This window comes from Homo sapiens, chromosome 8 (genome assembly GCF_000001405.40).
Source record: "Homo sapiens chromosome 8, GRCh38.p14 Primary Assembly".
Classification (NCBI taxonomy): domain Eukaryota; kingdom Metazoa; phylum Chordata; class Mammalia; order Primates; family Hominidae; genus Homo; species Homo sapiens.
This window is the reverse complement of record NC_000008.11, coordinates 43,042,041-43,057,913: the sequence shown is the minus strand read 5'-3', so window position 1 is coordinate 43,057,913 and position 15,873 is coordinate 43,042,041. Positions and strand designations below refer to the sequence as shown.

At 46.3% G+C, this 15,873-nt stretch overlaps 1 protein-coding gene across 2 annotated transcripts in view, besides 2 other annotated features; it reads right to left on the bottom strand.

Annotated features, from left to right (window-relative positions):
• The window catches only part of FNTA (farnesyltransferase, CAAX box, subunit alpha), a 29,463-nt gene extending 27,872 nt beyond the window's left edge, over positions 1-1,591 (bottom strand). For both annotated transcript variants that reach the window (NR_033698.2, NM_002027.3), the window contains exon 1: positions 1,368-1,591. Coding sequence is in view for 1 of the 2 variants with exons in the window: in NM_002027.3 (NP_002018.1) it covers positions 1,368-1,567 (200 nt within the window). In the remaining variant the exon portion in view is untranslated. The remainder of the gene's footprint in view (positions 1-1,367) is intronic.
• Positions 1,073-1,642: a silencer, noted in NCBI's record as "silent region_19162". NCBI's record gives its function as "represses an Ori minimal core promoter by ATAC-STARR-seq in GM12878 lymphoblastoid cells {active_cell/tissue: GM12878}" and the evidence as "EXISTENCE:reporter gene assay evidence [ECO:0000049][PMID:35858748]".
• Positions 1,773-1,962: an enhancer, noted in NCBI's record as "active region_27320". NCBI's record gives its function as "activates an Ori minimal core promoter by ATAC-STARR-seq in GM12878 lymphoblastoid cells {active_cell/tissue: GM12878}" and the evidence as "EXISTENCE:reporter gene assay evidence [ECO:0000049][PMID:35858748]".

Sequence of the window (15,873 nt, the reverse complement as noted above, 5' to 3'; positions counted from 1 at the left end):
CAATCTCCGCTCATTGCAACCTCTGCCTCCTGGGTTAAAGCGATTCTCCTGCCTCAGCCTCCCGAGTAGCTGGAATTACAGGTGCCCGCCACCACGCCCGGCTAATTTTTGTATTTTTAGTAGAGACAGGGTTTCACCATGTTGGCCAGGTTAGTCTGGAACTCCTGACCTCAGGTGATCCGCCCGCCTCGGCCTCCCAAAGTGCTGGGATTACAGGCGTGAGCCACCGCGCCGGCCCTTCCTTTCACTTTTTATTTCTCTATAATGATCAGCTGTTGACAGCAGAGATTCTGTGGCATCCAATGCGCAATGCTAGTAATTGTGTCCATTATACAGGGAGAAATACAAGTGAAATCATGACCTAAGACGTGACACCTAGAGCCTGGGGGAGTGGCCTGGGAAAGGTAAGGCTGTATTTAGTCACCAGGAAATCACCCACAGTCACGTGAGAACCTGAGTATTTCACAATCCAGAGAGCAGACTTGAGGATTATGGGGCTACCAATTTAAATCAGTAAAACACTATCTCCAATCAAAAAAATATATATGGGTAGTGACTTCTACTCATTCACAAAATCAAGGTAAACAAGCCATCGAATGGATTTACCTAGAACTACAGAAGTAAGACCTAAGGCGATTATCTCTGCAGGTTCACAGGGAATTAGGAATCAACATTACCATCTGAAAGCAAAGAACTGATGGAACTGGGTGTCAGCAAAGACGGGGTGACAGAGGCAAGAAAGTTACCGCAGTCCCCAGTACACCTCACTTGTATTATGTACGAGGCGATGCAGGGAGACTTAAGAGAGGTTCAGTAGCAAATCTCTTTTCAGCCTTTAGCCTGGCTGATACGAGGCGCTAAAATACAGATTGGATGAAAATGTCTCTGGGCTCCAAGCAGAGCCAGCCACTGGAAGCCCTCACACTTCGTTTTTAGGGTGAGCAAATCTGGCCCTGGTTTCCTGCCCGGCTACCAGAACTGCACCCTAGCCCTTGGGTCTTCACTGGTTGTTAGCGACACAGCGTTCTGGGAAGCCGTGGAAGAGAGCGGGAAATTTCTTATATTTACGAATCGCGACGCCTGAACAGCTGAACGAGTGCAGTCAAGGGTGCAGCAGTTTCCGCGTGGCTTAAAGCAGGCGGAAAGCCGAGACCTCGCTGCTTCGCGTCCCCGCGGTCTCGCGCCGGCGCCGCCCTGGGAAGCGGCGACGTCCCGGCAGCCGCCCGGGCCCAGCGCCATGCACCGGCCCACGCGGCGCCACGGGAACTTCGGCCTGGCGCGCCGGGGCCGGAAGCGCGCGCCGCGGGTCTTGGGGCCGCTGGGCCTCCAGGGAGTGTCCCGAGCCGCGGCCGCCGCGGGGGCGTTACCTGTACAGGACATAGGAGGGCGAGTCCAGGCTCACAAACCCGTCGTCCATGGGGGACGCCACGGCTTCCCCAGCCTCGGCCGCCATCTCTTCCTTGTGCTGCTGCTGGGGCGGCGGTGGGTGCGGCTGGGGCGGGGGTTGCGCCGGCTGCCCGGGCTCGCCCCCTTGCGCAGCCTCCCCGACCCCCTCGGTGGCCGCCATCTCGCCTCGGTCCGCAGCTGAGGTGGTGGCGGAGGCCCCGCCCCTCCCTTCCCCCTCTCGAGGCCACTTCCTGTTTTCTGGGTTTCCTACCATAGAGGTGCGGGCCAGAGAGTCTTGGCGGGCTGCCGGGGTATGGGTGGGAGTGTGCGGGTGCTGGCTGCGGGTGCTGGCTGCGTCCGCCGCGAGTTTGCGCGGCTCTCCCGAGATCCCCCAGGCTCCCACGCGTCTTCCCATCTGTCGCCGTTCCCGAGCTTTGCCGATGCCATTCGGACCGTGTTAGTGCTGTTAGTGGCCCCAGCAGGGAGAGGGCGATTCCTTCTTTGGACGGAAGCTGCAACTGAGGGTGACTGGGGGACACTGAGCACTCAGCCCTTTGCGTCCATCTCAGCATTTTCAAAACGAAATATAAAGCCCGGGCGCGGTGATTAACGCCTGATCCCAGCCGCTCGGAGGCCGCGGCGGGAGGATCATGTGAGCCAGGGAGGTCGAGACCAGCCTGGGCAATCTAATGCGACCCCATCTCTACCAAAAATACAAAAATTAGCTGGGCATCATGTGGGTGCCTGTGGTTCCAGCTACTCGGAAGGCTGAAGTGGGAGGATCGCTTGAGCTGGGAGTTTGAGGCTGCAGTGAGCAGAAATCACCACTGCACTCCAGTCTGAGGGACAGAGATCCTGTCCCAAAACACACACACCATTAGAAAAAGAAAGTAATATTTGGTGAAGTTTTTGTTTGTATTTATATATGATCGGATATAATGGTGTAAACCAAAAAATAAAATTCTGAACCCAACACCAAACCATCTGAATAGACCCTTCCTCTCTGCCAAGGGCTTTCCAAAGTTAACCTGAAAAACTTGTTCAGGCCATGATGGAAGGAGGTGGGGGTGAGGGTGGGTCATTAACATCAAGGCCGACCTTAAGTCTGATGAGAAACATTTACAATCTATTCTTTCTGAAGCCTGTTACTTGGAGGCTTCATCTGCATAATAAAACTTTGGTCTCCACAACCCCTTATCACAACCTGGACATTCTATTGATAACAACTTAACCAATTGCTAATCAGAACATATTTAAATCGGCCTAGGACCCGGAAGCACCCCTCTCCCTACACTTTGAGTTGTCTTGTCCTTCCAAAGGAACCAATGTGTATCTTACATGTATTTGATTGATGTCTTATGCCTCCCGAAAATGTATAAAACCCCACTGTGCCCCAACCACCCTGGGCACATGTTCTCAGGATCTCTTAAGGGCTGTGTCACAGGCCATTAATCACTCATATTTGGCTCAGAATAAATCTCTTCAAATATTTTCCAGAGTTTGACTCTTTTCATTAACAATGGGTCATATGAATGTATGTTGTTGGGGCTCAGAAAAGAATATCCCAAATGAAGGTCTAAGCATCAGCTTCACAATCACAGTCTCTCTCTGACCTTCTCCTGCCCTCCTCTCTGTGGCCACTCATCCTCTCTGAAGCAAGCCACAGCAACTAGAATCTCTCTTCCCCCTGGCAGGTCATAGAAACCAGAACCCTTTTCCCCCAAAGCCAGCCGTGGCACCTGAAAATACTACTCTAACCTTCCTCCAGCCCTGCCTTTCTATGTGACAGCTGGCTGTAAAGAAACTAAACCCTAGTTCCAGAGGGCTCCTCTTCCACTGGGTGTTGCAGGGAGGAACAGTGAGGCCAAGGAAACCTGAACAGACAGGCCTTGTTGAATTTCTCCACTCCATATATTAGCATTAAATCATCCTCTTTTTGTTCAAATAGGGTATAGTATTAGGGCAGAAATAGCTACATCAAATAATGGGACACAGTAGAGAACTCACAAACAGATCCATGCATATGTGGATGCTTGAGACTAGACAAAGGCTTCATTGCAGAAGATTGAGAAAAGGACGGTGTTCTGAACAATGGTGCTGGGTCAATTGGGCACCCACAGAGGAAAAGAAATTGCATCCCTACGTTATACTACATAGACTTCAATGTGAAAGGCAAAACATAAAAGCTTAAGATTCTGCACAAAACAGAAAACCCAAAATGGCAAATAAATGCATGAAGAGATGATCAATCTCATTAGTAATCAAGAAAATGCAAATTAGAAATATCTTTATATACCATACACATCCACTACGTTGGCAAAAATGGAAAAGCTTAACAATTCCAAGTGGCTTTGGAAAATAGGTTGGCATTATGTAGGAAAGCTAAAGATACACATTGTTATCACCCAGTGCTATAGTTTGGATGTGTTTTGTCCCTACCAAAACTCATTCAGGGTTGAGAGGCAGGGCCTAGTGGGAGCTGTTTGGGTCATTCCTCATGAATAGATGAATGCCCTACCTCAAGGATAAGTGGGTTCTTGCTCTTGCAGAATAGATTAGCTGTCTTCCTTGGTTTCTCTCTCTTGCTTCCCCTCTTGCTATGTGATCTCCTTGCACATACTACTCCCCTTCCACTTTCCCCCCATGAGTTGAAGCAGCCTGAGGCCCTCACTAGATAAAGCTACCCAGTCTTGAACCTTTTGGCCTCCAGAATCATTAGTCAAATAAACCTCTTTTCTTTATAAATTACCAGCCTCAGGTATTCTATTATGGTAACACAAAACGACTAAGACACCCAGTAATGCTAAGATACATATATATATATATATATATATATATTTTTTTTTTTTTTTTTTTTTTTGAGACAGAGTCTCACACTGTTCCCCGGGCTGGAGTGCAATGGCATGGTCTCGGCTCACTGCAACCTCTGCTTCCCAGGTTCACGCGATTCTTCTGCCTCAGCCCTCAGCCTCCCGAGTAGCTGGGATTACAGGCACACACCACCACACCTGGTTAATTTTTTGTATTTTTAGTAGAGATGGGGTTTCACTATGTTGGCCAGACTGGTCTCGAACTCCTGACCTCATGATCCAGCTGCCTCGGCCTCCCAAAGTGCTGGGATTACAGACGTGAGCGACCGTGCCTGGCCAGATGTATATATATATATATATATATATTTTTTTTTTTTAAATGATGCACTCACATGCATCAGAACACAGAACAACAGTACTGGAAACACATTGTAATAGCCACAGACCAGAAACAACCAACATGCTCATCAAGAGTACAATGTGGTATAGTCATATAATGGAATACTATGCAAAAATGAAACATATGAACTAAAGGTCATACACTAATAAGTGTGGTTAAAAGAAAATCATGGCTGGGCACAGTGGCTCACATCTGTAATTACAGCACTTTAGGAGGACAAAGCAGGAGGATCACATGAGGCCAGGAGTTTGAGACTAGCCTGGGCAACATAGCCAGACCCCAACTCTAAAAAAATACAAAAATTAGTTGGACGTGGTGACATGTGCCTGTAATCCCAGGTACTCAGGAAGCTGAGGTGGGAGGATCACTTGAGCTCAGGAAGTCAAGGCTACAATGAGCCATGATCACACCACTGCACTCCAGCCTGGGCAACAGAGTGAGAGCCTGTCTCAAAAAAATATAAAAAAAGAAAAAGACGGCCAGGTGCGGTGGCTCACACCTGTAATCCCAGCACTCTGGGAGGCCAAGGCAGGCGGATCACCTGAGGTCAGGAGTTTGAGACCAGCCTGGCCAACATGGTGACACCCCGTGTCTACTAAAAATGCAAAAATTAGCTGGGCATGGTGGCAGGCACCTGTAATCCCAGCTTCTTGGGAGGCTGAGGTAGGAGAACTGCTTGAACCCAGGAGATGGAGGAGGTTGCAGTGAGCCGAGATCATGCCACTGCACTCCAACCTGGGCGACAGAGCGAGACTCTATCTCAAAAAAAAGAAAAACACTTGTTTCCTCTACTCACAACACTTCTGACACCAAATATGTGAGGTTTTCCTTCACATTAAGCAATCATCCAACCCTACTGACACCAGATGGGTAAACTACAATTCGGTTATGACACTAACTACCCTGAGCTAGTGGAGACCCCACAGGTTAAGGGCTCTGTCCCACAAGACTGCTCTCCCACTTCAGATGCCAGTCACAAGTCCCAGGTTATCACCTGAACTTCTAACAAACTGGCTATAAATCAGGGGTTCCTGCAACCCCACATTTGACAATTTGCTATAATGGCTCATAGAATGCAGGGAACCACATTACTTATGTTTACTGGTTTATTATAAAGGATATTACAAATGATCCCAGTGAGGAGGTACATAGGGTGAGGTCTGGAAGGGTTCTGAGCATGGGAGCTGCTGTTCCCATGGAGTTTGGGGTCTGCTACCCTCTTGCATGTGGATATATCCTTTCTCAGCAACCCTGAAGCTCTCTGAGCCTCTTCAGTTAGGGCTTTTATAGATGCTTCATTACATAGGCCCAGTTGATTAAATCATTGGTCACTGGTGATTGACTCAACCTCTAGCCCTTCTCCCATTCCCAGAGGTGGGGATGGCTGAAAGTTCCAATCCTCTAATCACATGCTTGGCTTCCCTGGTGTCTTAGTCCATTTAATGCTGTGATAAAGGAAAAGCTGAAGCTGGCTAATTTATAAGGAAAAGAGGTTGACTTGGGTCATGGTTCTGCAGGCTGTGCAAGAAGCATTGTACCAGCACCTGCTTCTGGTGAGGGCCTCAGGCTGCTTCCAGTAATGGCAGAAGCTGAAGGGGAGCCATTGCGCAGAGATCACAGGGCGAGAGAGGAAGCAGGAGGCCAGGAGGGGCCCATCCCTTCCTAACAATCAGCTCTTGTGGAAATCAATAGAATGAGAAGTCACTCATTACAGAGAGGATGGCACCAAGCCATTCCTAAGAAAAATCCACCCCCATCACCCAAACACCTCCCATAGGCCCCACCTCCATAAGATTTGGAGGGTCAGATATTTAAACCATAGCACATGGCAACCAGCCCCCGCCCTCCAAGAGTCAGCTCATTAGCATAAACTCAGGTTTGGTTGAAAGGGTTTGTCATGAATAACAAAAGACATGGACAGACATGGTGGCTCACACCTGTAATCCTAACACTTTGGTAGGCCGAGTCGGGTGGATCATCTGTGGTCAGGAGTTCAAGACCAGCCTGGCCAACATGGTGAAACCCCGTCTCTACTAAAAATACAAAAATTAGCTGAGTGTGGTGGTGCATGCCTGTAATTCCAGCTACTCGGGAGGCTGAGACAGGAGAATTGTGTGAACCTGGGAGGTGGAAGTTGCAGTGAGCCAAGATTGCGCCACTGCACTCCAGCCTGAGAACAGACGGAGACTCCATCTCAAAAAAAAAAAAAAAAAGACATTCCTTTCACCCTTCACCTTTATCACTTAGGAATTAAAAGAATTATAGGCTCTCTGGCCAGGAGCTGGAGATAAAGACCAAAGTACATATTTATTATATCACAATACCACAGTTGTATAAACAAAGTGCTGAGCAAAAGAAACCACAGTATATAATTCTATGTACATAGAGTTTAGTAACAGGCAAAATTACAGCCTATTGTTTTTACTTGAAGATAAAACTAAACAAATAAAGAAAATCGTTACCATAGAACTCAGACTAGTAGGTACCTCTAGGGGAGGAGAGCAGGTTATGGTTGAGAAGGGACATGTGTAAGGATCCCAGGGTGCTTGCAATGTTTGATTTTCTGCCTTGGATCACAGTGACACTGGTGTTCACTAGATCAGTAACTCAGGGAGAAACGTGGAAGTCTGCATTCCCAAGTTTCATGTATGTCGAATGTACACCAGGTAAAGGTTTTATGCTAGGTTAATTTGAAAGTGATCACTTTTCTAGAATATTGCATAAAAGCTGTACTTCACTAAAAACAATTGTCTGTTACTAAAAAAAAATTCTATAACTCACTTTTCATAAAGGCTGTTTTGAAATTCTGTAAGGGAAGAAATGTGACTTTAGCTTTATGAAGGCAACTTGCTTCTTTCTGTCTAAACACTCTGGAGACAAATGTTGAAATATATTGGCCAAACACAATGTGTACCTTGGTCTCCTCCACAGAAACAGATAGTTTTTAATGACTGCATGATATTTCTTTTAGATATTGTGCTTTATATAGTAGTTAATAGTTATATAGCAGTTACAGGCTCACAAGTTTGAGACCAGCCTGGGCAACCCCACTGCTACAAAAAAAAATTAGCTGGGCATGGTGTCGCGTGCTTCTGGTCCCAGCTACTCAGGAGGTTGAGGCAGGAGGATCACTTGAGCCGAGGAAGTTGAGGCTGCAGTAAGCCATGACTGTGCCACTGCACTCCACCCTGGGCAACAGAGGGAGACCCTGGATCTAAAAAATAATAATGTTGGCCAGGCACAATGGCTCACACCTGTAATCCCAGCACTTTGGGAGGCCAGGGTAGGTGGATCATGAGGTTAGGAGTTTGAGACGAGCCTGGCCAAGATGGTGAAAACCCATCTCTACTAAAAATACAAAAATTAGCAGGGTGTGGTGGCACACGCCTGTAATCCCAGCTACTTGGGAGGCTGAGGCAGGAGAATCGTTTGAACCCAGGAGGCGGAGGTTGCAGTGAGCCGAGATCGTGTCATTGCACCCCAGCCTGGGCGACAGGATGAGACTCCATCTCAAAAAAAAAATAATAATGTTAATAATAAAAAATAATCTATTGTTGAATGTTTAACATTGTTTCAAATTTCTCACTTGGAATGTTTCATTCATGAGTATCTTCATATTAATAAATGTATCTAATAAACATTCATTTTGTGACCATTGTGGACTACTATTCTCAACAGTGGTGATATAGCAGTGAAAACAAAATTTTTAACAACAACAAAAAAACTCTGCTCTTATGGTATTTTTATTCTAGTGAGGGAGATAAAGAAGATAAACGTGTAATAGTTGTTGAATATTATCTAGTGATAAGTGCTAGGAAGGAAAAGCAGGGAAGTGTAGGGATGGATTATAAGTGATAGCTCATCACTAGGGGAAAGTCCTCATTAAGGAGGTGACAGTCAAATAAAGATTTGAGGAATATGAATGAGCAAGCCCACTTGGAGATCTTCTAGACCATTCCCGGCAGAAGTCCAAAGATACTGAGCAGGGAGAGTCTGGTGCATCTGTGGATCTAGGCGGCCAGTGTGGCTGGAATGGAGTGACCAGATGGGAGTGGGGGAGGAGGTGAGGTCGGAGATGGAGGTGGAGCACATCACAGGGTCTTACTGCCACCCAGGCTGGAGAGTAGTGGCGCAATCATAGCTCACTGCAGCCTTGAACTCCTGGGCTCAAGCAATCTTCCCACTTCAGCCTCCCAAGTAGGTGGAACTACAGGTGTGTGCCATCATGCCTGGCTGATTTTTTTTTTTAATTTTTGTAAAGAGAGTATCTTGCTATGTTACCCAGGCTGGTTTCATTTTCGTAAAGACAGAATCTTGCTATGTTGCCCAGGCTGGGTTCAAGCAGTCCTCCTGACTTGGCCTCCCGAAGTGCTGAGATTACAGGCGTGAGCCATTGTGCCTGGCCTGACATAAATTTTGAAATCAGCAAGTATAAGCCCTTTATATTTACTTTTTATAATGGAAAATTTCAATCTACACAAATATAGGGGAAATAATTCAATAAACCCTCATATCCTCTCAGCCAAGTACCAAAACAATCATCAACTCAAGGATATTGATTTCAATACTTTTCTCTGTTTTTTTTTCTTTTTTTTTTTTTTTTGAGACAGAGTCTCACTCTGTCATCCAGATTGGAGTGCAGTGATGCGGTCTCAGCTCACTGCAACCTCTGCCTCCTGGGTTCAAGTGATTCTCCTGCCTCAGCCTCCCAAGTAGCTGGGATTACAGGCGTGAGCCACCAGACCCGGCTAATTTTTGTATTTTTAGTAGAGACGGGGTTTCACTATATTGGCCAGGCTGGTCTCAAATGGCTAACCTCAAGTGATCCACCTGTCTTGGCCTCCTAAAATCCTGGGATTACAGGCGTGAGCCACCGCGCTCGGCCCCAATACTCTTCTCTTAATCTCTCACCCTACAGAAATATTTTGAAGCAAATTCAAGACATCATATAGCATCATTATAATATAAAAAAATAACTATCATTATCCTGCCTACAAAATTGACAATAAAGATTTCTGTGGCCGGGCATGGTGGCTCATGCCTGTAATCCTAGCATTTTGCGGGGCTGAGGCAGGCGGGTCACCTGAAGTCAGGAGTTCAAGACCAGCCTGACCAACATGGTGAAACCCGTCTCTACTAAAAATACAAAAATTAGCTGGGCATGGTGGCACGCACCTGTAATCCCAGCGACTCAGGAGGCTGAGAAGGGGGAATCGCTTGAACCCGGGAGGCAGAGGTTGCAGTGAGCAGAGATGGCACCACTGCACTCCAGCCTGGGCAGCAGAGCAAGACTCTGTCTCAAAAAAAAAGACAAAAAAGTTTTCTGCTACTGCCAAGATGGAGTAACAGGGATCTCCCAACTGAAACAACTAAGACAGCAGGACCAAAAAAATGAGACAACAGTTCTCATCAGGACATCAGGAAAATAAGAACCATAAACTCTAAGCATGTGACACAAAAAAAGATGAATCCTGGCCAAGCACGGTGGCTCACACCTATAATCCCAGCACTTTGGGTGGCTGACATGGGCGGATCACGAGGTCAGGAGATCAAGATCATCCTGGCCAACATGGTGAAACCCCGTCTCTACTAAAAATACAAAAATTAGCTGGGCATGGTGGAATGCACCTGTAGTCCCAGCTACTCAGGAGGCTGAGGCAGGAAAATTGCTTGAACCCGGGAGGCAGAGGTTGCAGTGAGCTAAGATCGGGCCACTGCACTCCAGCCTGGGCAACAGAGCAAAACTCTGTCTCAAAAAAAAAAAAGAAAAAAAGAATCCTGAAATTGCCTTAGCTTATAGCTTATGAAAAAAATTCTAGGGGCTGGGTGTAGCCCTTATATACCTGTAATCTCAGCATTTTAGGAGATTAGATCTCTCTAATTTCCTAAATTGCCTGAGATCAGGAATTTGAGACCAGCCCGGGCAACATAGCAAGATCCTGTCTCAAAAAAAAAAAAAAAATTAGTTGGACTTGGTGGTGTGCACCTGTAGTCCCAGCTTCTTGGGAGGCTTAGGTGGGAGGATGACTTGGACCCAGGAGTTCGAGGTCGCAAGGAGCTATGATCGCACCACTGTACTCTAGCCTGGGTGACAGAGCGAGACCCTGCCTCTAAAAAAATTTAATTAAAAATGTGCAGGTCATGGCTGGGTAAAGGGGTTCACACCTGTAATCCTAGCACTTTGGGAGGCTGAGATGGGCAGATCACTTGAGGCCAGGAGTTTGAGACCAGCCTGGCCAACATGATGAAACTCTGTCTCTACTAAAAAAAATACAAAAATCACCCAGATGTGGTGGTGCGTGCCTGTAGTTCTAGCTACTTGGGAGGCTGAGGCAGGAGAATCACTTGAACCCAGGAGGCAGAGGTTGCAGTAAGCTGAGATCACACCACTGCACTCCAGCCTGGGCAACAGAGCGAGACTCTGTCTAAAAAAAAAAAAAAATGCGCAGGCCATGATGTAGAGGGCAGAGCACAACGGCCCCTCCACAATTGAAGAGGCAGTGCTGGACAATTGAGGAAGCCAGTGTGGCTACTTTTTACAGGGCAGGATACCTGAAGGAGACAGTTACAGAGAGAAAATTCTGAAGACCTGCTGAGGGTCGCCCTGAAGTATTCAGTTGCATAACGATCAGTGTATGTATTGGAGGAATAAACAAGGATGGAGAAAGGATCACACAAAGGATTAGATGCAAGAATTCCTGAAGCTCACACACGGTCACAAATACTGCCTGTTCAGATGGATTGCTTGGGCCCAGGAGTTTGAGGCTGCAGTCAGCTATGATCGTGCCACGGCACTCCAGCCTGGGTGACAGAGCAAGACTCTGTCTTTAAAACAACAACAACAACAACAACAACAAAAACGAAAAAAGAAATACTGCCCGTTTTAACCACCTACAGTGAGAAATCTTAAAATTCACAGAGTATCAGGTAGAGTACTCAACAGGGTCTTCCCTTAGTTGTGGGATGAAATTATCCCAAATGTGGACATGGTTGGGCAAGACCCAAAGGGATCAATCTGCTTCCAATTAACCTAACTGTACCCTATTAAAAAGTTCAAGAATTATTTTAGGAAAAGAAAGATACCCATCACCCAATAAAATAAAGTTCACAATTTCTGGCATCCAATTTAAAGTTTCCAGGCACACAAAGAAGTAGGAAAATTTGACTCATTATGAGCAGGAAAAAATTCTATCTATCAAAACCAACCCCGAACTGACACAAACATTACAATCAACAGTCATGGGCACTAAGACAGTTGTAACTGTGTTCTTATGATCAAGAAGCTAGCAGAAATATTCCACATGTTAAGCAGAGACATGGAAGATGTCAATAAAAAAATAAATTTAACCTCTAGAGACTCAAAAATACACTGGATGGCATTAGCAGCAGATTAGACATTCTAGAGAAAAAGATTCGTGAATTTGAAGACACTAATAGAAATTATCCAAAATGAAACTGAGAGAAAAGACTGGAAAGAGATCCACAGAGCATCCATGAGCTGTCAGACACCCTTAGCTCACTAATATCTGTGTAACTAGAGTTCTCAGAGAGGAGCAGAAGGATAGAAAAAAATATCTGGAGACATAATGGCTGCAGTTTTTCCAAATTGGAGAAAAATTATAAACCTACAAAGAAAGCTCAAAGAAGCCCAAGCACAAGAAATGTTCAAAAAATACATAACAGATCAAAATCAAATTGCTCAAAAGCAGTGATAAAGAGAAAATCTTAAAATCCACCAAAGAAGAAGACACATTAGATATAGAAGAACAAACCTGGCTGGGCAAGGTGGCTCACGCCTGTAATCCCAGCACTTTGGGAGGCCGAGGCAGGTGGATCACCTGAGGTCAGGAGTTTGAGACCAGCCTGGCCATTATGGTGAAACCCTGTCTCTACTAAAAATACAAAAATTAGGCCGAGCGCAGTGGCTCACGCCTGTAATCCCAGCACTTTGTGGGGGCTGAGGCGGGTGGATCACCTGAGGTCGGGAGTTCGAGACCAACCTGACCAACATGGAGAAACCCCGTCTCTACTAAAAATACAAAAAAAGAAAATTAGCCAGGTGTGATGGCGCATGCCTGTAATCCCAGCTACTCCAGAGGCTGAGGCAGGAGAATCGCTTGAACCCAGGAGGTGGAGGATGCGGTGAGCCAAGATCGCGCATTGCACTCCAGCTTGGGCAACAAGAGTGAAACTCCATCTCAGAAAGAAAAAAAAAATTAGCCAGGCATAGTGGTGGACGCCTGTAATTCCAGCTACTCGGGAGACTGAGGCAGGAGAATCGCTTGAACCTGGAAGGTGGAGGTTGCAGTGAGCCGAGATCGCGCCACTGCACTCCAGCCTAAGTGACAGAGTAAGACTCTATCACAAAAAAACAAAAACAAAAACAAAACAAAACAAAAACCTATAGATGACAGCAGATTCTCACTGGAAGCTGCAGTAGGCAGTCTTGCAGATGGTCCCTAAGGAGCCCACCTCTTGGAATTCATACCCTTGTAAAGTCCCCTCCACTCGAGTGTGGGCTGACCTCATGACCAGCTTCTAATGAATAGAATATGGCAAAAGTGGCCAGACCTGTAGTCCCTACTACTTGGGAGGCTGATGTGGGAGGATCACTTGAGCCCAGGGGTTCGAGGCTGCAGGGAGTTATGATCATGTCCTGAACTCCAGTCTGGGTGATGGAGTGAGACTCTGTCTCAAAAAAGAAAAAAAAAAAGGCAAAAGTGATAGCATGCCACCCTGAGATTACAAGACTGTGACCTCCACCATGTTGGCCCCCCTGCTCCGGCCCTTACGTCTCTAGGAGCCCTCATTTTGAGGGAAGCAAATGGCCATGTTGTGAAATGCACTACGGAGAGGCCAACGTGGCAGGAAACTGACGTATCTGGCCGGTAGTTGGTAAGGACCTGAAGTGTGCCAACAGTGATGTGAGTGAACTTGGAAGTAGATCTTCCCTTCGCCCAGCTTTTTTTTTTTTTTTTTTTTTTTTTGCGGGGTCTCCCTCTGTCGCTCAGGCTGGAGTGCACTGGTGCGATCTCATCTCACTGCCGCCTCTCCCTCTTGGGTTCAAGTGATCCTCCTGCCTTAGCCTCCCCAGTAGCTGAGACTATAGGCATGCACCATCACGACTGGTTTTTACATTTTTTATAGAGATGGGGTTTTCGCTATGCTGACCAGGCTGGTCTCAAACTCCTGGGCTCAAGAGATCCTCCCACCTTGGCCTCCTAAAGTGCTGGGATTGGCCTGGTACAGTGGCTCATGCCTGTAATCCCAGCACCTTGGGAGGCCAAAGTGGGCGGATCACCTAAGGTCAGGAGTTCGAGACCAGCCAGACCAACATAGTGAAACCCCACCTAAATAAAAATACAAAATTAGCTGGACGTGGAGGTGGGTGCCTGTAATCCCAGCTACTTGGGAGGCTGCAGCAGGAGAATCGCTTGGACCTGGGAGGCGGAGGTTGCAGTGAGCTGAGATGGTGCCACTGCACTCCAGCCTGGGCAACAAGGACGAAACTCCATCTCAAAAAAATAAATACAGTGCTGGGATTAGAGGAGTGAGCCATTCTACCTGACTGGTTTGTTTTTTTTTTTTTTCGTTATCAAAAGTCAGTAATATTTTTGTATATTTCCTCCTAAGAGGTTTTTTAACACAAATTTTTACATGGTGATAATCAGATTTTACATACAATTTTGCATCCTACTTGTCCCTTGACATATCCCCATGTTATTTATTGTAAATACAACATCCCATCAGGAGGGACATACTAAATTTTATTTAACTATTTATTGCTGGATATGGACATTATTTTTTATTTTTCTCTATATAATGTGACATGCCCCTTTATGCATAGAAGACTTTTCTGCAGGTAGGATTACTTCTTTGAGCTACTGAATTTTTTTTAAGGCTTTGACACATATTGCCAAGTTCCTTTTGCAAAGAGGTTGTACCAAGGCACCAGAGTGGCAGTTGTGTTGAACATGCCTGGCACCAAAGTTGTAGACACCCTTGCAGGAGTAGAGGAGTATGAGTGAAGGTAATTTGCTTAATTCATCTTGTACTCTATTTAAGGTCTTCCCTCATTGTTTTTGTTTGTTTGTTTGTTTGTTTTTTTGAGACCGAATCTCCCTTGTCGCCCAGGCTAGAGTACAATGGCGTGATCTCTGCTCACTGCAACCTCCGCCTCTGGGGTTCAAGCAATTCTTCCTGCCTCAGCCTCCCGAGTAGCTGGGATTACAGGCGTCTGTCACCACGTCCAGCTAATTTTTTGTATTTTTAGTAGTGACGGGGTTTTACCATGTTGGCCAGGTTGGTCTCAAAGTCCTGACTTCAGGTGATCTGACTGCCTCGGCCTCCCAAAAGTGCTGGGATTACAGGCATGAGCCACCATGCCCAGCTGGTCTTCCCTCATTCTTATGTGATATTTTAATGACAGTATAACACATATATAGAAAAATACAAATTGTTAGTCAACAGCTACACAATGATCATAAACAAGACACTCTCATGACACCAACGTCTGCACCAAATTACAGAATATTCCCACCGACCAAGCTGTCCTTGTGGCCCCTCCCAGGCACTCCCCTAAGGGTAATTATGTTTTGCCCATTTTTGAACTTTATATGTGTAGACCATGCTGTATCCATTTTTGTATCTGGCTTTTGTTCAATACTGTATCTACCAGAGTCAACTGTGTTGTATGTAATAGCAGTTCATTTGCTGTCACTGCTGAGTAGCGTTCTATTTTATGGATGTGCCACAACCTCTTTATCCATTTTACTTTAATGGATATATGAGTGGTCTCCAGTTTTGACTCTTATATACAGTGCTACTGTGAACATGCTAGTATATAAACTTTAGTGAACACATGCATGCTTTTCTGTTGGGCATATATGTAGGAGTGGAGTGGCTGGGTCATGGGGGATATGTGTTTTCAGCTTCCTGATCCAATTTTTTTTTTTTTGAGACGGAGTCTGGCTCTGTCGCCCAGGCTGGAGTGCAGTGGTGCAATATCGGCTCACTGCAAGCTCCGCCTCCCGGGTTCACACCATTCTCCTGCCTCAGCCTCCCGAGTAGCTGGGACTACAGGTGCCCGCCACAACATCCGGCTAATTTTTTGTATTTTTAGTAGAGACGAGGTTTCACCGTGTTAGCCCGGATGGCCTTGATCTCCTGACCTCGTGATCCGCCCGCCTCGGCCTCTCAAAGTGCTGGGATTACAGGCGTGAGCCACCGCGCCCGGCCTCTTGCTCCAATTTTTAATGGATCATCTTCAGTTGAAAG